Genomic DNA, 22,960 nt, shown 5'->3' on the forward strand with positions numbered 1-22,960 from the left:
CTCGTATTATTTTTTCTTTTCTTGAGATGGGGTCTCGCTTGTTGCCCTGGCTGGTCTTTAACTCCTGGGCTTGAGTGATACTCCTGCACTGACCTCCGAGTAGCTGGAACTACTACAGGCACTTGTCACTGTGCCCGGTTAGCTTCTATTATTATTATTTGTTTTGAGATGGAGTCTTGCTCTGTTGCCCAGGCTGGAATGCAATGGTGCAATCTCTGCTCACTGCAACCTCTGCCTCCCTGGCTCAAGCGATTCTCCCATTTCAGCCTCCTGAGTAGCTGCCATTACAGGCACCTGCCACCACACCCGGCAAATTTTTGTATTTTTAGTAGAGACGGGGTTTCACCATGTTGACCAGGCTGGTCTCGACCTCCTGACCTCAAACGATCCGTCCGCCTTGGCCCCCCAAAGTGCTGGGATTACAGGCGTGAGCCACCACGCCCAGCCTATTCTTTCTTTTCCTCTGTAGCCTGAGCCACTTGGGGGCCTTCAAATCCCCGTTCTCCCCTCGCCCCCAGCTTTCATGCCCGCGGTTCCCTCATCTGGGCATGAGCTCTTCCGCCATGTTTCTACTGACCTTTCCTGACCCCCAAGGCCGGGTCAGAGCCCTGTGCAGTTCCCGTCACGGCGCTGATGGCCCAGTGATGGTACTGCCAGGTGACATGTCCCTCTGCCTGACCCCCACTCTGGGCACTGGGAGCCCCTTTAGGGCTGGGACCAGGTGGGTCTTTGTGACCGCTCCGTCCCAGCGCCTGGCTTTGGGCCCTGCATGCAGCGGTTACTGAATGAATATTTATTGAATATACAAAGACACGGACCCTGTGCCCGCGCCCCCGCCACACACAGCGAAAACAGGTTTCTACATTGTAAACACAACCTCCGTGTAGACCCCAACCCCCAAAAAGGCAAGACAACGGCGTAGCCAAACAGATTGGTCATTATTGTACACATAGCTGGAAGGGAGGGGTGGTCCCGGGGTAAGGACAGGGCTGCCCAATATTTGGGGGGAGGAAGGGACTCTTCTTCCAAATGGGCTTGTCCGGGAACCGGGGTCCCGGGGAGCTGGGCGCCTGGTCCACATGGACCCCCTCCACCTCCCCACATACGCTGTGGAAGAAGGGCAGGAGTGAGAAATGCTGGGGGAGGACGACCCTTTGGTCTGAGATGTGGAGGTGATCATAACAGTTCCCGCCCGCTGGCTGTTTTGTTGACTTTGGAGAGGCCTTCCCGGAACCCAGAGTCCGTCATTCTGGGGGCAGACAGCGAGGAGGCGTCTAGCGTTGCAGGGCAGCAGGCCCCACCCACTCTACCCGGAACCACTCAGGCCCCGCCCCACTCCCCCCAACCACAGCAGCCCTGGCCTTGCCCACTCTACCCCAGACTCACCCAGGCTGCACCCACCTCGCTCCCACAGCAGCGCAGGCCCTACCCTTCTACTCCAACCACCTAGGCCCCGCCCCCAGCAGCCCTGGCCCCACCCACTCTACCCGTAACCACTCAGGCCCCGCCCACCTTACTGCCATAGCAGCCCAGGCCCCACCCGTTCTACCCGAACTACCTAGGCCCCGCCCACCCCCGCCCCCAGAGCGGCCCTGGGTGTCTCCCTAGCGGCCCTAACCCCACCCCTAGCTCAGCCTGGCCTTAGGTACTCCACAGCTGTCCGGTCCCCACCTGCACAGCTGCCCTGGCTGCCCCCCATCTCCCCTCCATCCCTTCTCAACAGCAGGCTCTGCCCTAACACTGCCCCCAGGGCTGCTACAGTCCCTCCCCCCTGCCCACCCTGCCCGTAGAGCTGCCCACCCCCTACTCCACCCCCAGAGCCGCCGGCCCTGCCCATGGTGCCCAGCTCACACTTGCTCCATCTGAACATCCTCCTCGTCCTCCTGGGGCAGCTGCAGGTACGGGTTGTTTCCTGTGGGCTGGAACTTGTAGCCCGTGAGCACGAAGAAGGCCAGGGTGGAGCCCTCCACCAAGAGCTGGGGGACGGGGCGGAGTGGGGGCGTCAGGCGCACCCCCACCCCCACCGTGGCCGCCCTCCCGTCCCACCTGGGCCTCGGGCTCACCTGGTACAGCCACTGCCACTGAAAGGGCACAGCCACCTGCAGCAGGATGGCGATGATGCGGGTGAAGTAGACGTAGCAGATGACCTGCAGGGGCGCGAGCAGGCGTGGGGCCAGGACTGTAGGGGCACGGGCAGGCATGGGGCTAGACTGCAGGACTGCGGGCTGGGGAGCCTGGATGGGGGCCTCGGGATGGGGCAGCAGCTGAGGGGCTGGGGTGGGCGTGCAGCAGGCCGGTAATCCCCCCAAACCCGCTGTGAGTGAGGCGGGCTCCTACCATGACATAGTAATGCCGGAACAGCTTCAGCTTGGCCAGGTTCACTGCCACTGAGGGTGGGCACAGAGAGGGCGGTCAGGGGAGACTGAGGGTGGGAGGGAGGGGAGGGGGCTGGGGGCTGGGAGAGGTGACAAACAGAACATCTGAGGGAGTGTCCAGGAGCAGCAAGTCTCGAGGGGACATTAGGTGGGGCAGAAAGGCGGAAGGGGGAGATCAGAGAGGAGGGAAGGGCCACCCAACAGGGCAGAGAGGCCAGATAAAGGCATTCGGGGGAAAGAGAGGCCAGACTGGGGCATCCAGGGAGGCAGAGGCCTGGGGGCTGGGCAGAGAGGCCAGGAGGGGCATCCAAGGGGCAGAAAGAAGGGCCCGGAGGAGGAATGGGGCCATGAGCAGAGGGCCTGCAGGCGCAGGGCCTCACCCTTCCCGTCTGTGCCAGACGCATCCTGGAGATGCCGGATGGACCTGGGACAAGTGGAGGACACAGGGTACGGTCAGCGCGGACATCGCCCATGTGCACAGGGCAGAGCCTCAGCCCGGGGGCAGGGTCCTCACCAGACTACGGGGAACAGGATGGCACCACAGCAGATGAGGTCCACCAGGAACAAAATCTCCTTCCACAGCACGTAGTCGCTGGCGCCTTCCTCGCGGGACTCGATGATGATGTAGGCCACGTTGGCCAGGACCTGCGCAGGCGGCGGGGGTGGGTGGGCACTGCCTGGCACGCTCCCCTTTGCCCCCACTGCCCTGTGCAGCCCTCCCCGCCCTGCTCCGGAGGCTGCTCCATCCGCACCTGCATGGGGATCACGATCCCAAAGACCTTCTTCTCCTTATCCGACAGGACGTACTTGATGAAGGCCCAGCCTGAGCCAATCAGGGCGATGGTGATGAAGAGGAGGGCGCCCTTCAGCCTGAAGGAGCAGGGGAGGGCGTGATGATGAGGTGGGGGGCCAACCCTCCCCTGCCTGCCTCCCCCCAGCTGCCCAGCAGAGTGGGGGACACTCACAGGTGTGCGATGTAGTACATGACGGCAAGGCCTTCGATGGGGTGGCCCTGGCTGTTGATGAAGTAGTAGTTGATCTGGGGGTGGATGGACAGACGGACAGTGAGGCGCACAGAGGGGTGGGAGGCTGATGGTGGTGGTGGGGGATTAGGAACACGGACCGTCACCATCAGATGGGTGGTCAGAAAGTTGAATAATGAGGACGGTGGGTGGGACTCAAAACTGGTAATCGGGGCTGAAAAAATGGAGGGAACAGTCACAGCTGAAGGGGTGAATAGTTGGACAATCAGAGACGGACAGTCACAGCTGAACCAAGGGACAGTGGTGGACAGAGCTGCCCCGCAGGACTGGTGGACAGAGGGGATGGGTGACTGGCCACACTGGTAAAATGGGTGGACACGTGGATAGCTGGCGGATGGCCCTCCCACAGGCCCAGGGTCTGCAGAGATTTGGGGGATGGCCCGGGTGGGCCTTTCAGCCCACCCCCCGCTGCTCCCCGGTCCAAGGCTCTCACGCTGTGGAAGAGGAGAGAGATGCTCTTGGTGAAGGCCAAGGCCGCCATGAGCCAGTGGATCTTGAAGACGCTGTACCTGGTGGGAGGGTCAGGGAGAGATGGGGGTGCGGGGCATCAGCAGAGCATAGGGATGGGGGTCTGGTGAAGGGACGTGGGGGACCCTCAGGGGCAGGGGCATTACGTGTTCCTGCAGAGGATGGACACCCAGAAGATGCCAGCGGCCAGGAAGCAGGCGGACATGACCATGTAGAGCTTGAAAAGGGGCATCTCCGCTGCCGACAGGAAGCCATCGGGGTTCTTCTCCCGGATCATCACCTGCGGAGGGGGCAGTGGTGGGCGGCGGCAGGGGCACAGCCCGACCGCTGGCCTGGGAGAGCAGCGAGTGGGGGTCTCCAGCTCTCTCACTTTCTACTGGGCCACTCATCCACTCTGAGCCTCAGTTGGCCCCGTCTCTCAAATGGGTATAACAGCTCCTACTTCGCACCCGGGAGGGCTGGGAAAAGCTAAGCGGGGTGAGGCACTCTGGGCCCGCAGTGGCCTGCAGGGGGCGCTCCCTGGCCCTGCTGCCCTCCACTCCGCTCACCGTGATGTCGAATGGATGCTCCTTTCCTGGCACTGAATTGTTGCAGTTGTGGAAGTTCAGGCTGTACTGGCCTTCTTCCGCCTGAGAGCCGATCACCACGTGGAACTGGGCGGGCGGGGAGAGAGGAGGGCTCAGCCTGGGGGACCCGTGGTCTGGGGCGACAATCAGCTTGGGGGTCCCATGGTCTGGGGCGATGGTAGGGCTGCAGGAGGGCTCAGCTTGGGGGTCCCGTGCTCTGGGGTGACGGAAGGGCCGCAGGCGCTGCAAACACTCACACTGAAGTTGTAGGAGTTGTTGAGGTGGCTCAGGCCCAACACCAGGTCCTTGTCCTTCCCACTAGGACCCTGAAGGGACAGAGCCCCTCCATCAGCTGGTTCTGGGTCCCCGCAGGGCCCTGGGGTGTGCATCTTCCCTCCTGCCCCGCCTCCCCGAAACCTGAATCACTGCGGGTGTTGACTTGGGCTTGCTGGCTGCAGAGGTCCCTCCTGTAAGAGACCGGGCAGTGATTTTAAGAGATGGATGGATGGATAGAGGGGCAGTGGGAAAACGGCATGGGGAGTGCAAAGGGCAGACCTGCCCATCCACCCCCGTCTGCACAGCCAGCCTGACTCACCGCCATCCACCTTGCGGGGGACTGTGGCCTGTGGCTTCGGGAGCCCTGGTTTGGAGGGTGCTTCCGGGAGGAGCCCGGGAAAGATAAACAACGTCTTCTGCTCTCCATACTTCCGCACCTGGACCCTGGGGTGAGGGTGGGGTGGGGCATGAGGCTGGGGGGCTGAACTTGGCTCAGGCACCGGCAAAGGACTCAGTGGCCCCTTGGACCCTCTGCGTGTCCTCCCTGAGGGGCGGGGTCCAGTCGAGTCAGTTATCACTGAGTTTCAGCCTTTGGTTCCCACCGGTCAAGGAGGCTGCCGCCTTCCTGTGCTGCCTGCATCCGCAGTTATTCGTCATTTCCCATGACATCAATCTACTCTTTTTCTCTTTTCTTTAGAGACAGGGTCTTGCTCTGTCGCCCAAGCTGGAGCGCTGTAGTGCAATCACAGCTCACTGCAGCCTCAAATTCCTGGGATCAGGCAATCCTCCCACCTCAGCCACAGGAGCAGATGGAACCACAGGCGCACACCATCATGCTTGGCTAATTTTTAAATTTTCTAGAGACAGGGGTCTCCCTACGTTGCCCAGGCTGGTCTTGAACTCCTGGCTTCAAGTGATCCTCCTGGCTCAGCCAGTCTCCCAAAGCACTGGAATTAATGGCATGAGCCACCATGGCCAGCCCTACATTATTATTATTATTATTATTATTATTATTATTATTATTATTATTATTTTGAGACAGGCTCTTGATCTGTCGTCCAGGCTGGAGTGCAGCAGTGCAAACTTGGTTCACTGCAACCTCCACCTCCCCAGCTCAGGAGATCCTCTCACCTCAGCTTCCAGAGTAGCTGGGACTACAGGCGTGCACCACCATGCCTGGCTAATTCCTGTACATTTTTTGGTTTTTTAGTAAAGACAAGGTTTTGCCATGTTGCCCAGGCTGGTCTACAATTCCTGGGCCCAAGCAATCCTTTTGCCTCGGCCTCCCAAATACTGGGATTACAGGCGTAAGCCACTGCCTGGCCCTAAGTATATTATTTAAAAAGAAAACATTTTATCTACAGAAAAGCAACATGGTTTTGTCAGACCCTGGCCCCAGAATCCCAGTTCCTGGGACTCAGTTTTCTTGTCTGAAGAGCGGAGATGATCACAGGATAAGGAATGGGTGAGTTAGTGTATTAAAGCTCCGGGACACCGGAAGCACTCAACATGTGCGAACAATTGTTATTCATTCTCACAACAACCCTCTGTATCCGGGTCTTCTGCCCTGAGACACCAACACCCGCGGAGTCCCTCTCTCCTTCCTTCCAACAATCAGAAGACTTGAAGGCAAAACTAAAAAGTAAGTGGCTTTCTCTCTCTGCTTCTCATCCCACCTGATCAGCCCAGGTGCGTGTGGGCATCACACCAGGGAAACGCAGACGAAGGATCTGAGCGAGCCCCCGGTCCCCAACTCACTGCAGATCCTTGGTGTTGATGAGGAACAGGACCAGGAAACTGCTACTGTTTTTCTGGAGAGGGCAGTCCTGGAAATCCCGGGTCTGGGGGGTGGGCAGGAGGGAGTGAGTCTTGGTTACTCCTCTCCTGGTCCAGCTCCACCCTGTCTCCCTCCCTGTCCACCCACGGGATCTTCCTGCTCCTGCCTCTGACAAAGAACAGGGGCCCTTGGGTTACAGATGCAGAGGACAGACCCTACCCCCTCCCTCCAGCCCCTTCTCCCGTCTTCCCCATGCCCTCCACTCACTGAATAGGAGCGAACTCTGCCAGACCGAACCCGGCTGAGACTGAACCCCACCTGGTGGGTGGAAAAAAAAAGGGGAGGGTGTGAGGGACAGTAGAGACCTCCCAGCTATCCCTTTCAGTAGCAATAGAAACCTAACCTCACATTTACTGAACACCTAACATGTGCTAGATCCCACACGCTCTTTTTCTTTTTTAGAGTTGGGGTGGTGGGTGGACCTCATTCTGTTTCTCAAGCTGGAATACAGTGGCAGGATCATAGCTCACTACAGCCTCGAACTCCCAGGTTCAAACGATCCTCTCACCTCGGCCTCCCGACTGGCTGGGACTACAGGCACACCTCACCACGCCCGGCTAATTTTAAAAACTTTTTGTAGAGACGGGGTTCTCACTATGTTGCCCAGGCTGGTCTTGAACTCCTGGCCTCAGGCAATCCTCCCACCTTGGCCTCCCAAAGTGCTAGGACTACAAAGCCTGAGCCACCGCGCCCCGCCTGTCCCCCAAGTCTTAAGAAAAGTGCCTAGCACATCCTGTGTAAGACATCATTACTCCCAGGTACAGATGACGAAACAGGCTCAGAGAGATGACGGGACTTGTACAAGATCACATGGGTAGCGGCAGAGCTGGGAACCCAGAACCGGGGGATTGCACCGTGCTCTCCTCCAGCAAACTCCTCAAGGTCCCTCACCAGCAGGGACTTCTCTTCTGCCTCCCGGAGGCCCAGCCGCAGGACGCTCAACTCCACCTCCAGAGAGCCATTGGTGTAGAAACCGAAGCTGTTCAGCTGGATGTCCGCTCGCTTCTCCCCCTGCCGGAGACCAAGGAGGCAGAGGCAGTTCAGACCTCTTTCCGCCTGCCCAGCCCCAGGGGTCTGGCACGAGGACCTCCAGAAGGGCCTCCTGGTACCCCTCTATTTAGGACAGGCCCAGAGGATGACAAGAGAAAGTTGAGAGGGACTTCCTCCCTGCAGGGGAAGGGTGGTCCTGCATTCTCCGACCTCTGTTCTGAGAACCCAGGAACAGAGATCCTGCGGCACCTGGAAGTCTCCCCACTGGGGTGAGCACCGCCCGGAGAACAGTTATTCACCTCGGCGTGCCTGACCTTCACCTTCCCGAAGAACTTTTACATTCCAGTTGAGCTCCCAGCAATATTTCAACAGAACCCCCCAAATCCCATTAAGTGCCCAGAGGACCCCACTCTATAGCCCCCCAGGACCCCGCTGTGCGGCTCCAGGGTCTCTAGCGCCCCAAAAGTGATTCCAAGAATTTAAAGGACTAAGACCCAGTTGGGGGGAAGGGGGGTGTAGTCCCCAAGAGATGGAGCCTCGCCCCCGAAGGGAGGGGGCCGACCCCAGCGAGGCGGACCCGGCAACTCCATCCGGAGGACCGAAGGGGATCCCGGGACGAGACCACTCCGGGCCCGGAAACGGGGGGCGCCGGACCACTCCACCGCCTCGGGGACGGGGGAGGGCGGACGAGACCACTCCAAGCCAGGGGGCTTCTCCGAGACAAAGTTGCGCCACCGACCCCAGACCCTCGCGCGGCGGGCCTCACCGTCAGCGCCAGCTGGTGGATGCGCCCGGAGCAGCCACCCAGCAGCAGCACCAGAAGTAGCCGCTGCCCCCACTCCGCGGGGCTCCCGCGGCCGAGCCCCCTCCTCTCGCTCACTGCCATCTCTGGAGCCACCTCCTCCCCGACTCCGCCTCTGGCGCCCAAGCCCGCCCACCGATGAGCCAATCGCCGCACGGCGGGGCCCGGCCTTTCGGAGTTTCCAGTCCGCCAACCAATCAGCAATTGCCTCTCCGCAAGCCCGCCTGCTTGCGTCACCGACGGACAGCACCGGTTCCGAATGGGAGAGCCGATAACGCTTAACCCCCAGCTCACTCTCACCAATCGCTATAAAGATTGTCCGGATGTGATTTAATGAGCAGTTTATCTAACCAATTGTCATGGATCTGATATCCGGCCCTTAAAGCGGAATTTCTCCACCCACTCTTAACTGTCCGGGACTACATTACCCAGAATGCAGCGGGAGCAGACAAGGGCCACAAAGCATTAAATAAACTACCTTTCCCAGTATCCCCAAGGACGGACTTCCTCTTCTTGAGCCAGGGATGTGGCTCCCAGCCAGAGCTGAGGCTTTTGGTAAACACACGCATCTGTTCAGGCCTGACCTGTTTTCCTAATCTTCCTGGTCCACAGAGAGGCCTAAAGCTGGCCTCAGGTTAAAGTTTGACCCTAGGATGACCTATGACCCCAGGCTGAGACCCCAGCCTTAGGCTAAGCCTTTTATTCCAGAGTGAGGCAATTGGAGCCCCACCCCCAGATTCCAGGCTAGACCGGACTCCGGGCTGAACTCTGACCCCAGGTGAACTCCCTCTCTGCAAGTTGAGTCCTAACTTCAGCCTGAAACTCTGACACCCCCTCGTCCCCCACACCACACACTGAGGCTTAATCTCTGGTTTAGGCCACCGATCTGGACTAGCCCTGACTCCAGATTGGACCTGACCCCTTACCGGGTTGCTAATCCTTCTGGTTAAGCCTCTGGCCTCTATCCCCTATCCCCACGGTGGTGCTGACCTGGACTGAACCCCAATTCCAGTTTGAGTCTCTGAGCAGAGGTGAACTCAGAACTTTGCTAGGCTGAGCCCCCATTTGAGACTAGCCACAGAACTCACTGGGTTCAATTGCCCAACTGCAATCAGACATTTTCTAGCTCAGAAGCCACCAGCAGGTGGGGCCAGGTCTCAGCAGAGACATCAGTCCCAGTGTGGGCTCCCAAGGCTCTCCTCCTGGGCTCAGCTGTATCTCTCTGTTCTGGGAGCCTGGGTGCTCTGTGTAAGGGGAACGTATACCCAAGGGCCCCCCTGCAAGACGCCCAGCCTTGTCTGAGGCTGCAGAGAAAGCGCCAAAGCCCGGAGAGAATGGGAGTGGGAATCCCCAGTGCCTCCTCTCCTCTTTCATTCCAGCACCTCAAAGGGATTTACAAGGTGTGAACAGACTTTTATGGGAGAGGTGACAGACTTCCCTTCTCCAGGGCCCAGATGGCCCAGATGTCTGGGGGAGGGGCGGAGTCGGAATCTCAGGGGCAGTACTGAGAATGAAACCAGGTTAAACTGGAAAATGGGCAGATGCAGGCGCGAACTGGAAGGCAGCTGGGGAAAGGCCTGGGCCTGGCGCCCCAAGGACGGCCTGTCTTCAGTTTCCCAGCGGAGACTCTGGGGGAGGGAAGGCAGGATGCGGTGCGGGAGTTAATGGACCTGGCCTTGGCGAAGGCGCGTCCTGGGTTGGATCGAAACCCTCTCATCCGCCCTGTGGCCGGAGGGACCAGACCATTAGTGGGACGAACCTAGACGCCTGGAGCCGGGCCGGCTCGCAAGAACGGGGTGACCTCAGGTTGCCCCTGCAATGGGGTTGAGGAAGGACTTCTTGAGTTTGGGGTTTTAGTGTCTTGGCCCTTTAAGGAATAATTGCGGGGAAAGGGGAAAAGGAGATGGGAAGAACCGTTTGGAGCGGGGAAGGAAGATGAGAGGACGAGAGGGACCCCGGGGATTTGGAAAAAATGGGTGGGGGTTCTTTAAGGGGTCGGTCCAGCGGCGTCGAGTGGCAACGTTGCTTTAAAAGGGGGCGGAGCGTCCGTTGGGCCCCGCCCCCGAATCGCAGTGCTTGGGCTCCGCGCGGGTGGGGGCGTGGCAGAGCGTGCAGGGGGGCGGGGAAGAGTCTGGGGTGGGCGGGGCCGGGCGGGGCGGGGCGGGGCCAGGCGCACCGCCCTCGGCTGAGTCTCCCCGGGGAGGGCGGCGGGCGGCGGGCGGCGGGGACCGGGTGCGGTGGTGGCTGCGGCGGCGGCGGCGGGAGCAGCATGGATTGGGGCACTGAGCTGTGGGTAAGTCCAATCGGCCCGCCTCTAAGTTCCCCTTTGCTGGGGTCCAGGCACCCCCCTTTTGTCCCCAATGTATCTTAGAGGGGGCTCCGCGCCTTTCCCTTCCACCGACCCCTGGGTCCCCGCCCTCCACCCTCCGCTCTCTCTCGAAGTTTATCTGGGAGTCTCAGCACGCTCAGGGGCGAAGGGCGACTTTGCCGGACCGGAGTGGGGAAACTGAGGCACAGGGTTGCGAATGAGGCGGGCAGAAGGAATCCTGGGGCCAGGCCGGGGCGGCTGAGAGAGGTCACCTATTTTGGGCGCCCTGGCCGGGCAGGCGGCTTATCTTACGGCCCCTGGGTCCCTGCCCGTCGTCCGCCTGTCCGGCTAGGAGGGGGGAGGGGACCCTCTGGTCACCCTCATCCCCACCCACGTGGGACCTAGAAGTCCTGACCGCCCTTTCCCTCGCCTTTAATCAACACCTAGGGGCTGGGGACGCTCATGGAGGGGAAGGGGGATGCTAAGCTCGGCCTGATCCCCCTCCCTGGCTTCCCCCTGCTCACCCCAGGCCCAGGGCGGGACCGCCCCCTGGTCGCCTATAACCTCAGCCCTGGAAGCCCCAGAAATTTCCCCCTATCCTAGCCGGACCTCTGACCCCTCCCCTTGCTGGGGGCGGTGGAATCCCTGAGTTCTTAGTGCAGCGGGGGTAACCAGACTGCCACCCCCTCCTCCAATTCTGCGATTTCTTTTGGATGTGTAGTGGGGTCAGTGGGGTAAATTGAGTCACCCATCGGGGGATCCCTGGAAGCAGGGAGATTCAGGGAACCTGGTGCCTGCCCCCTGGCCACTCAGGGGCCCCCAGTCTGCCAGGAACCCTGCCCCTCTGGCCTTGACTCACGCCGGGCCGGCCGGATTTTCCGGAATCCGGGGGGATTAGGGGAGCCCGAGCTGGGGGAGTGGCCCTGTCCCCTTCCACGCCCCTCTTGGCGGTCCTATGTCGGAGACCTCCATCTCCCGGCCGGGGTGGCTGGGGCCTGGGCGCTGTTCTCCGGCCCTTCCCGGGAAGGGGAGGGGGTTCCCGCCAGTTTCCTGCCTCCCCCCGCGCCACGCCGGGGCGGCGCCGGGAAGCCACTCCTTCTAGGAGCGCAGAGCCTTGGCCCTCCCTGGGAGTCTGGTCGGCGGGCTGTGGGGTCCCAAAATCGTGACCCCGGCCCCTCTCCCCTCCTCCCCCACCATGTCCCATGTCAGGATCAGTTCGAGGTGCTCGAGCGCCACACGCAGTGGGGGCTGGACCTGTTGGACAGATATGTAAAGTTCGTGAAAGAACGCACCGAAGTGGAACAGGCTTACGCCAAACAACTGCGGTGAGACCCTGGGGTGGACGCTACGGAGGACGCGCCTGGGGCGACGGGGAGCGGTGGGAGGGCTGCGGGCTCAGCCCTCCTACCTCTGTCTCCCCTTAGGAGCCTGGTGAAAAAATATCTGCCCAAGAGACCTGCCAAGGATGATCCTGAGTCCAAGTAAGGTTGGAGAGGGGCTGCAGGGCTAGATTTGTGGGGAAAGGCGGTGCTTGGGTCTCACTTCCCCTCCCTCAGCTGGGACACCCCACCGCTCCTCTCACTTCCCCTTCTAGAGGTGAGAGCATGGATGCAAGATGCGGGATTATCTGGCTTGGAATCCTGAGTCCACTACTATGTAGAGAAATTGACTTGGGCTTGTGACTCAGGTTTTCTGCCACTATTTTCCTTAACTGTTAAATACAGAGGCCCCAGCAGTTACAAAACCAGTAACTTTGGGCAGATGACTTAAAGTTTTGCGCCTCTGTTTTCCTCATCTGTGAAATGGAATGATGACGATTCCTCCAGCTTTGTAGGGCTTTCATGAACACGAGCTGAGTGAATGTGTTTAAACAGTGTGCAGTCCATATCAAACGCCGTAAGGAGCATTTGACTTGGAATTGAGTCCCCAATTCCAAAATCCAAAAAAGCCCTGGAAATCAAGTTGTTTTGGTCACTTGTTTGGCAGCAATCTCTGACCTGAACTTTTTGTTAATTGTAGTTGTTTTGTTTTGTTTTTGACAGAGTTTCACTCTGTCCCCCAGGCTGGAGTGCAGTGGCGCCATCTCAGCTCACTGCAACTTCCGCCTCCCAGGTTCAAGCGATTCTCCTGCCTCAGCCTCCCTAGTAGCTGGGATTACAGTCACCTGCCACCATGCCCAGCTAATTTTTATATTTTTAGTAGAGACAGGGTTTCACCATGTTAGCCAGGCTGGTAATTGTAGTTTTGACTTTTATCCCACTTAGTGTGAATGTTAACACCTCTCATTGTAAAATTAAAAAAAAAAATAGGGTTGGGCACAGTGGCTCACACCTGTAATCCCACACATTGGGAGGGTGCGCAGGTGGATCACTTGAGGTCAGGAGTTCGAGAGCAGCCTGGTCAACATGGTGAAACCTTGTCTCTTCTAAAAATACAAAAATTAGCCAGGCGTTGTGGTGCGCGCCTGTAATCCCAGCTACTCAGGAGGCTGAGGCATGAGAATCGCTTGAACCCGGGAGGCGGAGGTTGCAGTGAGCCAAGATCGCACCACTGCACTCCAGCCTGGGCGACAGAGTGAGACTCTGTCTCCAAAACAAATAGATACGGTGTTTGATTACAAAATGATGTCCCCAACCCCACTAAGATGATGCAGAAAAGATGGTATAAGCTTTGTACACCATCTTTAAAAACTGGAAAATTCTGTGTTCCAATATACATTCGAGGTCCAGTGCGGTGGCTCACACCTGTACTCCCAGCACTTTGGGAGGGTGAGGCGGGAAGATGCGGAGTTCGGGGGGATTGGAGTTTGAGACCTCATCTGGAAAAAAAAAATTAGCCAGGTGTGGTGGCGTGTGCCTGTGGTCCCAGCTATTTGGGAGCCTGAGGTGGGAGGATCACTTGAGCCCAGGAGTTTGAGGCTGCAGTGAGACGCAATCATGCCGCTGCACTGCAGCCTGGGTGACAGCAAGACCCTGTCTCAAAAAAAAAAAAAAAAAAAATCTACTCAAGGGTTGGGGTTAAGGAATATGGACCAGAATTTGTCATCGCTTCAGGGATTACATTCTTGGGGCTTAACCCTTTTCCACCTGGAGGTGCGTCCTGGGGCATCAGCCTGCTCGGGAGGAGGGGCCTGACTCCCTGTTCCCCGATTCTCATCCAACCCCAGATTCAGCCAGCAACAGTCCTTCGTACAGATTCTCCAGGAGGTGAATGACTTTGCAGGCCAGCGGGAGCTGGTGGCTGAGAACCTCAGTGTCCGTGTATGTCTTGAGCTGACCAAGTACTCACAAGAGATGAAACAGGAGAGGAAGATGGTGAGGAGCCCCCCGATTCAGGTTTTACAAAGGGCTTCTGCTGGAACCCTGGCGAGCCTTATCACTCTTCTTTCTGTAGCACTTCCAAGAAGGGCGGCGGGCCCAGCAGCAGCTGGAAAATGGCTTTAAACAGCTGGAGAATGTGAGTTTGCAGAGGTAGCAGTGACTGTGGCCCGGAGGCATGGGGGCAGGGTTGCGGATCCGGAGTCAGGGAGCTGCCCTCTTTGTCAGACCTGGACCTTCCCTCCCCCATAGGCTTCCAGTACTCCCTTGACCCCTACTTACTGGATGACATCCCAATAATCCCTGAAACCTTGGTTTCCCACCCTGCTGTCTTTGGGATGGTGGCTCCCTCACTCCGGTTCTGTCCCCTACACAGAGTAAGCGTAAATTTGAGCGGGACTGCCGGGAGGCAGAGAAGGCAGCCCAGACTGCTGAACGGCTAGACCAGGATATCAACGCCACCAAGGCTGATGTGGAGAAGGTGTGTGTGGCGGGGGCGGGGGGGGGGTGCGGGGTCTGGGACAAGCTTGGGGAGTCCGAGTGGGACGTGATCGGAACCTGGCAGTACCTTCCACCTCTGCATTCTTCAGGCCAAGCAGCAAGCCCACCTTCGGAGTCACATGGCCGAAGAAAGCAAAAACGAATATGCGGCTCAACTGCAGCGCTTCAACCGAGACCAAGCCCACTTCTATTTTTCACAGATGCCCCAGATATTCGATGTGAGTGCTCCCAGTTCTCAGACCTACCTTCCCGAAAGCCTCCAAATGTTAGCCAACTCCTACGCATTCATCAAAACCCCAGCTGCAATGTCCCAGTCCCTAGATTGAAAGGGAATCAGAAACCTATAGTAACAGTGAGCTGTGCTTTTAGTCAGCTGTTCTTCCTGCTGGGCATGCCTTTTACTTGTTTGTTTATTTACTTCTATAGAGAGATGGGGCCTGGCTCTGTCACCCGGGCAGGAGTGCAGTGGCATAATCACAGCTCACTGCAGCCTGGAACCCCTGTGCTCAAGTGACCTTTCTTTCTTTTTGAAATTCCTACTTATTCTTCTAAGCTCCACCTCTAACAACCCCTCTGAAAGGTCTCGAATTTCCCCTCTCCTGTTTCAATCTAGCGCTCCACTCTCTGTCCCATCCGTGGCCCTGGGAGTATCAGGGCTGGTTCTGCTTTTTCTTCAAATCCCTGTTCCCTTGTCTCCTCCTTTGAGAAGCCTTTGCTGACCCCCTAGGCACGCGTCCCCCTCTGAGATCCCCCTGGCCCTGTGTCTCTTCCCCAACCACAGTGGGCTGGAGTCTCTCTTCCCGACTCTGTCTTCCCCTCCAGACTGGCTTGGGGCTGGGGCCAGCGTGGAGCGCGATCATATTTGCAGAGTGAATCACTGTGCTTCTAGTCCCTCTGTTAGCACCCCTGAGCCACCCTTGTCCCTGTCCTTACAGAAGCTCCAAGACATGGATGAACGCAGGGCCACCCGCCTGGGTGCCGGGTATGGGCTCCTGTCGGAGGCCGAGCTGGAGGTGGTGCCCATAATAGCCAAGTGCTTGGAGGGCATGAAGGTGGCTGCAAATGCTGTGGATCCCAAGAACGTGGGTGCCTGGTCTGGGTCCACTGGGCTACGGGAAGGGCAGAGGGAGGTACCCATAGGCTAGGCACTCGACTGCTCATCCACTGTCCCCCTCCCCCAGGACTCCCACGTCCTTATAGAGCTGCACAAGTCAGGTTTTGCCCGCCCGGGCGACGTGGAATTCGAGGACTTCAGCCAGCCCATGAACCGTGCACCCTCCGACAGCAGTCTGGGCACCCCCTCGGATGGACGGCCTGAACTCCGAGGCCCGGGTCGCAGCCGCACCAAGCGCTGGCCTTTTGGCAAGAAGAACAAGGTGGGGGCCGGGACCCTTGGGATGGTGGGGGAGAAGGACAGTGAAGTGGGGACAGTGGGGCCCCTATTGAGTCAGCCCCAGCCGCCTGAACGCCGAGTCTCGGGCAGGAATTTTCCTCTTGGCTGCCAGCCCGGACTGGAGGGAAGGAAGGCGGCCGATTGGCCTGGGAGTCCCCCGAGGCGAAGGCGGGGGCAGGGTGGGGAGGTGGGGAGGTCCGTGGCGTTTGTCTGCTGCTTCTCGGGATGCTGGGAGAAAACCTGCTGGTGGAATTCAGGGCTGGCCTGAGGGCTGGTGACACCATCCCTGGGGACTCCCCGAGTTTCTCTCTCCATCCTGCTGATGGGACTCTGGGAGCCGCCCTGCATGTCTTGCTTTCTTGGGTTTTTGGATTTTAATATACCTTAGCACCCTTGGTTTATACCTTTGATTTATACTTTGGGTCCCTCTTCACTTACACTCTCATACCTCTCCTTGACTTAACACCTGTGATCCCCGAGCTTAAACTTCTGATGCCCCTAACCCCTCTCATTTTCCTGCCTTCCACTCCCTCTCGGCTTGTGGTTTTATTTTTGTTTATTTATTTTTGTCCTCTGTGGCCTCTTACCTGTCTGAGACCTTGATTCCTGCATGCGTCTTCTAGACTGTCAGCCCAGAAAGCTAAGTGGACAGAGAGACATGGGCCTCCCTGCCTCCTGGACCCATGCTTGCTCCCGGACATAACATTCCAGAGACCTAGGAGATACCGGGGGAGTGAGAGTTCTGGCTTTCGGGCTTACAGTTCAACATCCTCCCCGCCACCTTCCAGATTTTTTTGTGTCGCTCCTGCATGCGTTTTCTCTGTGTGGTTGTGCATCTTGAGTTGTGGTTTTCTTACCGTTTTTTTTCTTTCTCCATTTTGTTTTTCCTTTTTCCTTTTTTTGCGTCCATCCGTCCATCCGTGCGTCCATCCCTCCGTCCATTCGTCCTCACTCTCTACATCCTCCTATGCCCCCCCACCCCTTCAACCTATCCCCCTCCCCGGCCCCCGCCGGTAGCCTCGCCCCCCACCCCTCTCCCCCCTGGGGGGCCCCGTACCCTCGGCATTGCCTAACGGACCCCCGTCCCCCCGCTCCGGCCGTGACCCCTTGGCCATACTGAGCGAGATCAGTAAGTCGGTCAAACCGAGGCTAGCATCCTTCCGCAGCCTTCGAGGCAGCCGTGGGGTAAGTGAGGCCTCGGGGCAGGAGGAGGTGGTGGCCCTAGCCTGCCCAGCGGCGGGTGGCGGGACCCTGGGCTCGCTTCCTGCCGCTGGCTGGGCCCCTCTTCCCTGGTTGCCCAACCCAGACCTGCTTTGCTCTGTGCATGGCTTCGCTGTCAAGAACCATGGCTGGGGAAGGGAGTGAAATATCTCAGACGGGTGCAGAGTCTGGCAGGCTAGACTCCTTGATCCCAAATTCAGCCCTCTACCCACCTTGCAGACAGTGGTGACCGAGGATTTTAGCCACTTGCCCCCAGAGCAGCAGCGAAAACGGCTTCAACAGCAGTTGGAAGAACGCAGTCGTGAACTTCAGAAGGAGGTTGACCAGAGGTAAGGTGGTGGGGTAGGGAAGGACAGGCAAGGAACATGATAAAATAGTAAATGAACTTCACTTATTTGTTTATTATTTTATTTTATTTATTTTATTATATTTTATTTTGTGACAGGGTCTTAGTCTGTCGTCCAGGCTGGAGTGCAGTGCTGTGATCTTAGCTCACTGCAATCGCCACATCCCAGGTTCAAGCAATTCTTGTGCCTCAGCCTGCCGATTAGCTAGGACCACAGGCATGCACCAGCTAATTTTTATATTTTTAGTAGAGGCGGGGTTTCCCCATATTAGCCAGGCTGTCTTGAACTCCTGGCCTCAGTTGATCTGCCTGCCTCAGCCTCCCATAGTGCTGGGATTATAGGCATGAGCCACTGCCCGGGTCTGTAAATGAATGACATTTAAATGGTACTCAAAGATCTCCCCAATAATCCCAAGGCCCCGACGGTTTTACAGGTGATTCCTACCACACTTAGTTACTTCTTGGCCAGGTGCAGTGGCCTGTGCCTGCAATCCCAGCATTTTGGGAGGTTGAGGCAGGAGGATCATCTGAGCCTAGGAGTTTGAGACCTGCCTGGGCAACAGAGTGAGACCCCATTTCTAGCAAAAATAAAAAAATTAGCTGGGTGTGGTGGTTTGTGTCTGTAGTCCCAGCCACTTGGGAGGCTGAGGTGGGAGGATGGCTTAAGCCTGGGAAATGGAGACTACAGTGAGCTGTGACTGCACCACTTGCACTTCAGCCTGGGTGTCAGAGTGAGACCCTGTCTCAAAAAGAAAAAAAGAAACAGTTACTTCTTGTCTTATACAAGTCATTCCAGCAAACAGAAAAAGTGTGAAAGCTGTCAACCTCTTTAGGCTGAAGAATCCTGATTCCCAAATCTGTGGCCAAGAATTCAATAAGATAAAATTAAGGGCTCATTTTACCTTATTTATGATCATAGAGGCAAAATCCTAGCCAAGCAAATCCAGTGTTTAAAAAATAATACATCACTTTGGGAGGCCAAGGAGGGCAGATCACGTGAGGTCAGGAGTTCGAGACCAGCCTGACCAACATGGTGAAACCCCGTCTCTACTAAAAATACAAAAACTAGCTGGGCATTGTGGCACGCGCCTGTAATTCCAGCTACTCGGGAGGCTGAGGTGGGAGAATCGCTTGAACCTGGGAGGCGGAGGTTGCAGTGAGTCAAGACTGCACCACTGCACTCCAGCCTGGGTAACACAGCGAGTCTCTACCTCAAATAATAATAATAATAATAATAATACATTAGCCGAGCACAGTGGCTCATGCCTATAAGCCCAGCACTTTGGGAGGCTGGGTAGAAGGATCACTCACTTGAGCCTAGGAGTTCAAGGCCAGCCTGGGCAACGTAGTAAAACCCCATCTCTTAGAAGAAGAAGAAGAAAAACCCAAGTAAATTTTTTTAAAAACTAAAAAAAAAAAAATCCACCATTGGTTGGGTTTTATCCCAATAATGCAAAGATAGTTCAATATCAAAAAATGTATCCATCTAGTTCACCACATTAATTGGCTAAAAGAAAAGCAGCATATGGTTATCTATTTAATAGCTCAAACACTTAAAATATTGACAATAAAAAAATCTGGCAGATTAAAAAAAAAATCTTTACTCACTCTTTCCAGGCAACAAAATCCTCTTCCCAGTTCTGTTACATAATAGGAATGATGTTTGCCACTTGCAAACAGGCAGCCAAATTATATTTTGCCATTTGCATGTAACCTCTTGGACAGAATGGCTTTTATTGGTGTAAAGTTCCATTCAGAACTCTCTAGTTCCTGAGTTTCTACGGTGGAGGGGTTAAGGGTGCATGTTCTAGAGTCACGACAAACTGGACTTGATTTCCAGCTTCATCTCAGGACTTGGGCAGCCTGTTTTACCTTTTAATTCCTCAGTTTCTTCATCTGTAAAGTGGATCAGGTATTAGAACTGGAATGAAGTTGGCAGGGTGCAGTGGTTTATGCCTGTAATCCAAGCACTTTGGGAGGCCGAGGCAGGCAGATGGCTTGAGACCGAGTTTGAGACCAGCTTGGCCAACATATGGAAATCCTGTCTCTACTAAAAATATAAAAATTAGCCAGGCGTGGTGGCGTGTGCCTGTAGTCCCAGCTACTCCAGAGGCTGAGGCACGAGAATCACTTGATCCCGGGAGGCACAGGTTGCTGTGAGCCGAGATTGCGCCACTGCATTCCAGCCTGGGCGACAGAGTGAGACTGTGTCTCAAAAAAAGATAAAAAATAACTGGAAGGAAGTTGAGCTCAGATCTGGTCTTTTCCAAAGGTCCATTATAGTCGTGACTACCTGTATATATAGACATAGGGGAGACAGGGATGAGAAACTGATGATAATGATAACAGTATTTATTAGTCACTTACTGCATTCTAGGCACTATTCGAAACAGTGTACATGGATTTATTCGAATTTTCAAGGTTTCCTGAGAGATTGTATGCAGACTTAAGATCTGTCTTGTTTAGTGTTATATTTATCTTTATTTATTTTTTCCCCTGCCCCCCCTTCTTTTTTTATTTTTTAAAAATTATTTTGATTTTTTACTAGAGACAAAGTCTCACACCATTGCCCAGGCTGGTCTTGAACTCCTGGCCTCAAGTGATCCTTCCACCTCAGCCTCCCAAAATAATGCTGGGATTACAGATGTGAGCCACCACGGCCAGCCCAGTGTTATATTTCTGATGCTTGGAATAGGACCTGTATGCAGTAGGTACTCAATATGTATATGAGTAATAGTGAGGACTTACTAGGTATCAGGCATTGTATTAATCCTCACAGTGACCCACATGAGATATTAGGATCATTATCTCCATTTCCAAAATAAGCAAACAGCAGTGGGGGTTCAATGATTTAAGCCAAGCTCACACAGCTAGGAAATATTCAAACTGAGATTCGAACCCAGGCAGTCGGGCACTAGTATTTGCATCCTTAACCATTGTCCTGCCTTGCTATTTGCTCCTTGATGCAAAACCCCTGTTTTTTGCTTGTTAAATCACATGGAGCCCGGTGCTGTGGCTCATGCCTGTAATCCCAGCACTTTGGGAGGCTGAGCCAGGAGGATCCCTTGAACTCAGCCTGGGCAACATAGCCAGACCCCATCTCTACTAAAAATTTTTGAAAAATCAGGCGAGTGTGGTGATGCGGGTCTATAGTCCCAGTTACTCAGGAGGCTGAGGCAGGAGTATCACTTGAGCCCGGGAGGTTAAGGTTGCAGTGAGCCATGATTGCACCACTGCACACCAGCCTGGGGAAAGAGTCAGAATGAGACCCTGACTCAAACAAAACAAAACAACAGCAACAAAAAAACTCACACGGAAGTATGTTTTCCTGTCTATCCTGTCTCCCTTGTCATAGGGAAGCCCTAAAGAAAATGAAGGATGTCTATGAGAAGACACCTCAGATGGGGGACCCCGCCAGCTTGGAGCCCCAGATCGCTGAAACCCTGAGCAACATTGAACGGCTGAAATTGGAAGTGCAGAAGTATGAGGTCAGGAAAGACCCTGGGGAGGGGCGGGAGCCAGCGGGCCTGGCTGAGTCACTGCTGGGTGGGGTGGGGGGTCGGGGACAGGGGAGGTGTTCGGAGCGGGGGGTCTCCAGCTGTTTTCCATCACAGCCTTGGCTGTGCGTGGGTGATCTCAGGGAACCTCTGGGTCCAAAGTGGGCTGACCCCGGAGCTCTGCCCTGGAACGATTTTCCTGTCCCCTCCTCCCAGGCGTGGCTGGCAGAAGCTGAAAGTCGAGTCCTTAGCAACCGGGGAGACAGCCTGAGCCGGCACGCCCGGCCTCCCGACCCCCCCGCTAGCGCCCCGCCAGACAGCAGCAGCAACAGCGCATCACAGGACACCAAGGAGAGGTGAGGGGTGACGTCAGAGTGGGTCTGTTCCCAGGGTCCCAGGAGGGCCTGTCTTTATCTGCCGAATTATCCCCAAACAGCTCTGAAGAGCCTCCCTCAGAAGAGAGCCAGGACACCCCCATTTACACGGAGTTTGATGAGGATTTCGAGGAGGAACCCACATCCCCCATAGGTCACTGTGTGGCCATCTACCACTTTGAAGGTGAGAACGGCCAGAGTGGGCTTGGCGGGGTATGGGAGGCAGTGTCTCTGGCTAGGTTCAGTTTAAATTCGCCTAAAGCAGGGCTGGGCGGGTGGCTCAGGCTTGTAATCCCAGCACTTTGGGAAGCTGAGGCAGGCAGATCACTTGAGGTCAAGAATTCCATACCAGCCTGGCGAACACGGTGAAACCCCATCTCTACTGAAAGTACAAAAATTAGCCAGGTGTGGTGGCGCACGCCTGTGATCCCAGCTACTCGGGAGGCTGAGGCAGGAGAATCCCTTGAACCTGGAGGCAGAGGTTGCAGGGAGCCAAGATCCGTGCCACTGCACTCCAGCCTGGGCGAGAGCGAGGCTCTGTCTCAAAAATAAAAAATAAAAATAATAAATTTTGCCTAAAGCAGATCTGGGCCCACCCCCACCCCCATCACAGGGTCCAGCGAGGGCACTATCTCTATGGCCGAGGGTGAAGACCTCAGTCTTATGGAAGAAGACAAAGGGGACGGCTGGACCCGGGTCAGGCGGAAAGAGGGAGGCGAGGGCTACGTGCCCACCTCCTACCTCCGAGTCACGCTCAATTGAACCCTGCCAGAGACGGGAAGAGGGGGGCTGTCGGCTGCTGCTTCTGGGCCACGGGGAGCCCCAGGACCTATGCACTTTATTTCTGACCCCGTGGCTTCGGCTGAGACCTGTGTAACCTGCTGCCCCCTCCACCCCCAACCCAGTCCTACCTGTCACACCGGACGGACCCGCTGTGCCTTCTACCATCGTTCCACCATTGATGTACATACTCATGTTTTACATCTTTTCTTTCTGCCGCTCGGCTCCGGCCATTTTGTTTTATACAAAAATGGGAAAAAAAAAAAAGAAATTATATAAAGTTCCTAGAGTCGGTGTCTTATTAGAGGATTTAAATACTGGGACTGGAAGTATCTAACACCACGTTTCTTACAGGCCACACAGGGAATGAGGAAGGGGAGGTGATCTTGGGCACACCTTGGGTCAACCCTGCCCCTTTCTGGAAGTTGGCCTATGTCATTGTCAGTGGGTGTCTGCTTGTGACTCAGGTAGGGAGAAGGATACCAAGTTTCTTTTTTTTTTCTTTTTGAGACAGTCTCACCCAGTTGCCCAGGCTGGAGTGCAGTGGCGTACGTGATCTCAGCTCACTGCAGACTCCATCTCCCGAGTTCAAGCAATTCTGCCTCAGCCTCCCAAGTAGCTGGGATTACAGGCACACACCATCATGCCCAGCTAATTTTTGTATTTTTTGTAGAGACAGGGTTTTGCCATGTTGGCCAGGCTGGTCTTGAACTCCTGACCTCAAGTGATCCATCTGCCTCGGCCTCCTAAAGTGCTGGGATTATGGCGTGAGCCACCGCACCTGGCCAGGACACCCAAGTTTCATCCCTTCTGAATGCACTGCAGCTTCTGAGAATGGGTAGCACTTATTGAAGACCTACTGTGTG

General features: G+C 56.2%; 2 protein-coding genes, 1 long non-coding RNA gene and 1 other non-coding gene across 26 annotated transcripts, besides 17 other annotated features; 1 reads left to right on the forward strand and 3 right to left on the reverse strand.

Annotated features, from left to right (window-relative positions):
• Window positions 1-778: 778 nt before the first annotated feature.
• On the reverse strand, window positions 779-8,445 carry GPR108 (G protein-coupled receptor 108). 18 transcript variants are annotated; one of them, NM_001394720.1, is made up of 18 exons: window positions 8,322-8,445; window positions 7,457-7,576; window positions 6,773-6,823; window positions 6,487-6,569; window positions 5,048-5,172; window positions 4,870-4,919; window positions 4,710-4,778; window positions 4,435-4,539; window positions 4,033-4,166; window positions 3,852-3,927; window positions 3,341-3,414; window positions 3,128-3,245; window positions 2,890-3,020; window positions 2,756-2,799; window positions 2,338-2,387; window positions 2,064-2,099; window positions 1,852-1,976; window positions 779-1,249 (listed from the first exon to the last, which is right to left on the reverse strand). In NM_001394720.1, the coding sequence occupies exons 1-18, from the start codon at window positions 8,439-8,441 to the stop codon at window positions 1,177-1,179; spliced, it is 1,584 nt and encodes a 527-aa protein (NP_001381649.1). In that variant the 5' UTR covers window positions 8,442-8,445; the 3' UTR covers window positions 779-1,176. The 18 variants fall into 18 exon arrangements, with proteins under 18 accessions (NP_001381649.1, NP_001381651.1, NP_001381647.1 ...); NM_001394722.1 differs by having other exon boundaries at window positions 1,852-1,919; window positions 2,064-2,147; NM_001394718.1 differs by having other exon boundaries at window positions 779-1,107; window positions 2,064-2,147.
• Window positions 1,487-1,566: a silencer, noted in NCBI's record as "silent region_9961". NCBI's record gives its function as "represses an Ori minimal core promoter by ATAC-STARR-seq in GM12878 lymphoblastoid cells {active_cell/tissue: GM12878}" and the evidence as "EXISTENCE:reporter gene assay evidence [ECO:0000049][PMID:35858748]".
• Window positions 6,028-6,796: an enhancer, noted in NCBI's record as "NANOG-H3K27ac hESC enhancer chr19:6735174-6735942 (GRCh37/hg19 assembly coordinates)". NCBI's record gives its function as "activates a minimal SCP1, AML or CMV promoter by ChIP-STARR-seq in naive H9 embryonic stem cells {active_cell/tissue: H9 hESC(naive)}" and the evidence as "EXISTENCE:reporter gene assay evidence [ECO:0000049][PMID:30033119]".
• Window positions 7,260-7,414: a silencer, noted in NCBI's record as "fragment chr19:6736406-6736560 (GRCh37/hg19 assembly coordinates)". NCBI's record gives its function as "represses an EF-1alpha promoter that drives an FKBP-Casp9 reporter gene in an ReSE screen in K562 erythroleukemia cells {active_cell/tissue: K562}" and the evidence as "EXISTENCE:reporter gene assay evidence [ECO:0000049][PMID:32094911]".
• Window positions 7,260-7,469: a biological region, named in NCBI's record as "ReSE screen-validated silencer GRCh37_chr19:6736406-6736560".
• Window positions 7,320-7,469: an enhancer, noted in NCBI's record as "active region_13860". NCBI's record gives its function as "activates an Ori minimal core promoter by ATAC-STARR-seq in GM12878 lymphoblastoid cells {active_cell/tissue: GM12878}" and the evidence as "EXISTENCE:reporter gene assay evidence [ECO:0000049][PMID:35858748]".
• MIR6791 (microRNA 6791) lies at window positions 7,577-7,643 on the reverse strand. Its single transcript, NR_106849.1, has one exon. It is a non-coding gene; the product is annotated as a microRNA 6791 (primary transcript).
• Window positions 7,780-7,941: a silencer, noted in NCBI's record as "fragment chr19:6736926-6737087 (GRCh37/hg19 assembly coordinates)". NCBI's record gives its function as "represses an EF-1alpha promoter that drives an FKBP-Casp9 reporter gene in an ReSE screen in phorbol 12-myristate 13-acetate-treated (for megakaryocytic differentiation) K562 erythroleukemia cells {active_cell/tissue: K562(+PMA)}" and the evidence as "EXISTENCE:reporter gene assay evidence [ECO:0000049][PMID:32094911]".
• Window positions 8,090-8,259: a silencer, noted in NCBI's record as "silent region_9962". NCBI's record gives its function as "represses an Ori minimal core promoter by ATAC-STARR-seq in GM12878 lymphoblastoid cells {active_cell/tissue: GM12878}" and the evidence as "EXISTENCE:reporter gene assay evidence [ECO:0000049][PMID:35858748]".
• Window positions 8,360-8,419: a silencer, noted in NCBI's record as "silent region_9963". NCBI's record gives its function as "represses an Ori minimal core promoter by ATAC-STARR-seq in GM12878 lymphoblastoid cells {active_cell/tissue: GM12878}" and the evidence as "EXISTENCE:reporter gene assay evidence [ECO:0000049][PMID:35858748]".
• Window positions 8,910-8,969: an enhancer, noted in NCBI's record as "active region_13861". NCBI's record gives its function as "activates an Ori minimal core promoter by ATAC-STARR-seq in GM12878 lymphoblastoid cells {active_cell/tissue: GM12878}" and the evidence as "EXISTENCE:reporter gene assay evidence [ECO:0000049][PMID:35858748]".
• Window positions 9,102-9,870: an enhancer, noted in NCBI's record as "H3K27ac-H3K4me1 hESC enhancer chr19:6738248-6739016 (GRCh37/hg19 assembly coordinates)". NCBI's record gives its function as "activates a minimal SCP1, AML or CMV promoter by ChIP-STARR-seq in primed H9 embryonic stem cells {active_cell/tissue: H9 hESC(primed)}" and the evidence as "EXISTENCE:reporter gene assay evidence [ECO:0000049][PMID:30033119]".
• Window positions 9,950-10,039: an enhancer, noted in NCBI's record as "active region_13862". NCBI's record gives its function as "activates an Ori minimal core promoter by ATAC-STARR-seq in GM12878 lymphoblastoid cells {active_cell/tissue: GM12878}" and the evidence as "EXISTENCE:reporter gene assay evidence [ECO:0000049][PMID:35858748]".
• Window positions 10,060-10,189: an enhancer, noted in NCBI's record as "active region_13863". NCBI's record gives its function as "activates an Ori minimal core promoter by ATAC-STARR-seq in GM12878 lymphoblastoid cells {active_cell/tissue: GM12878}" and the evidence as "EXISTENCE:reporter gene assay evidence [ECO:0000049][PMID:35858748]".
• Window positions 10,390-10,669: a silencer, noted in NCBI's record as "silent region_9964". NCBI's record gives its function as "represses an Ori minimal core promoter by ATAC-STARR-seq in GM12878 lymphoblastoid cells {active_cell/tissue: GM12878}" and the evidence as "EXISTENCE:reporter gene assay evidence [ECO:0000049][PMID:35858748]".
• TRIP10 (thyroid hormone receptor interactor 10) lies at window positions 10,545-22,395 on the forward strand. 6 transcript variants are annotated; one of them, NR_110231.2, is made up of 15 exons: window positions 10,545-10,650; window positions 11,875-11,990; window positions 12,090-12,146; window positions 13,832-13,979; window positions 14,059-14,121; window positions 14,359-14,463; window positions 14,573-14,701; window positions 15,419-15,565; window positions 15,665-15,859; window positions 17,043-17,061; window positions 17,317-17,426; window positions 20,799-20,931; window positions 21,157-21,296; window positions 21,377-21,498; window positions 21,928-22,395. NR_110231.2 is itself a non-coding variant. In NM_001288962.2 (15 exons), the coding sequence occupies exons 1-15, from the start codon at window positions 10,627-10,629 to the stop codon at window positions 22,074-22,076; spliced, it is 1,806 nt and encodes a 601-aa protein (NP_001275891.1). In that variant the 5' UTR covers window positions 10,545-10,626; the 3' UTR covers window positions 22,077-22,395. The 6 variants fall into 6 exon arrangements, 5 of the variants coding, with proteins under 5 accessions (NP_001275891.1, XP_006723003.1, NP_004231.1 ...); NM_001288962.2 differs by having other exon boundaries at window positions 16,894-17,061; XM_006722940.2 differs by having other exon boundaries at window positions 16,894-17,061; window positions 21,899-22,345.
• Window positions 10,639-11,406: an enhancer, noted in NCBI's record as "H3K27ac hESC enhancer chr19:6739785-6740552 (GRCh37/hg19 assembly coordinates)". NCBI's record gives its function as "activates a minimal SCP1, AML or CMV promoter by ChIP-STARR-seq in primed H9 embryonic stem cells {active_cell/tissue: H9 hESC(primed)}" and the evidence as "EXISTENCE:reporter gene assay evidence [ECO:0000049][PMID:30033119]".
• Window positions 10,710-10,799: a silencer, noted in NCBI's record as "silent region_9965". NCBI's record gives its function as "represses an Ori minimal core promoter by ATAC-STARR-seq in GM12878 lymphoblastoid cells {active_cell/tissue: GM12878}" and the evidence as "EXISTENCE:reporter gene assay evidence [ECO:0000049][PMID:35858748]".
• Window positions 13,637-14,556: an enhancer, noted in NCBI's record as "H3K27ac-H3K4me1 hESC enhancer chr19:6742783-6743702 (GRCh37/hg19 assembly coordinates)". NCBI's record gives its function as "activates a minimal SCP1, AML or CMV promoter by ChIP-STARR-seq in naive H9 embryonic stem cells {active_cell/tissue: H9 hESC(naive)}" and the evidence as "EXISTENCE:reporter gene assay evidence [ECO:0000049][PMID:30033119]".
• Window positions 16,608-17,108: an enhancer, noted in NCBI's record as "H3K27ac hESC enhancer chr19:6745754-6746254 (GRCh37/hg19 assembly coordinates)". NCBI's record gives its function as "activates a minimal SCP1, AML or CMV promoter by ChIP-STARR-seq in naive H9 embryonic stem cells {active_cell/tissue: H9 hESC(naive)}" and the evidence as "EXISTENCE:reporter gene assay evidence [ECO:0000049][PMID:30033119]".
• On the reverse strand, window positions 19,029-19,452 carry LOC124904623 (uncharacterized). The gene is made up of 2 exons (XR_007067109.1): window positions 19,316-19,452; window positions 19,029-19,221 (listed from the first exon to the last, which is right to left on the reverse strand). It is a non-coding gene; the product is annotated as an uncharacterized LOC124904623 (long non-coding RNA).
• Window positions 22,396-22,960: the final 565 nt, after the last annotated feature.

The sequence above is a fragment of the Homo sapiens genome, chromosome 19 (assembly GCF_000001405.40).
Source record: "Homo sapiens chromosome 19, GRCh38.p14 Primary Assembly".
In the NCBI taxonomy this organism is placed as follows: domain Eukaryota; kingdom Metazoa; phylum Chordata; class Mammalia; order Primates; family Hominidae; genus Homo; species Homo sapiens.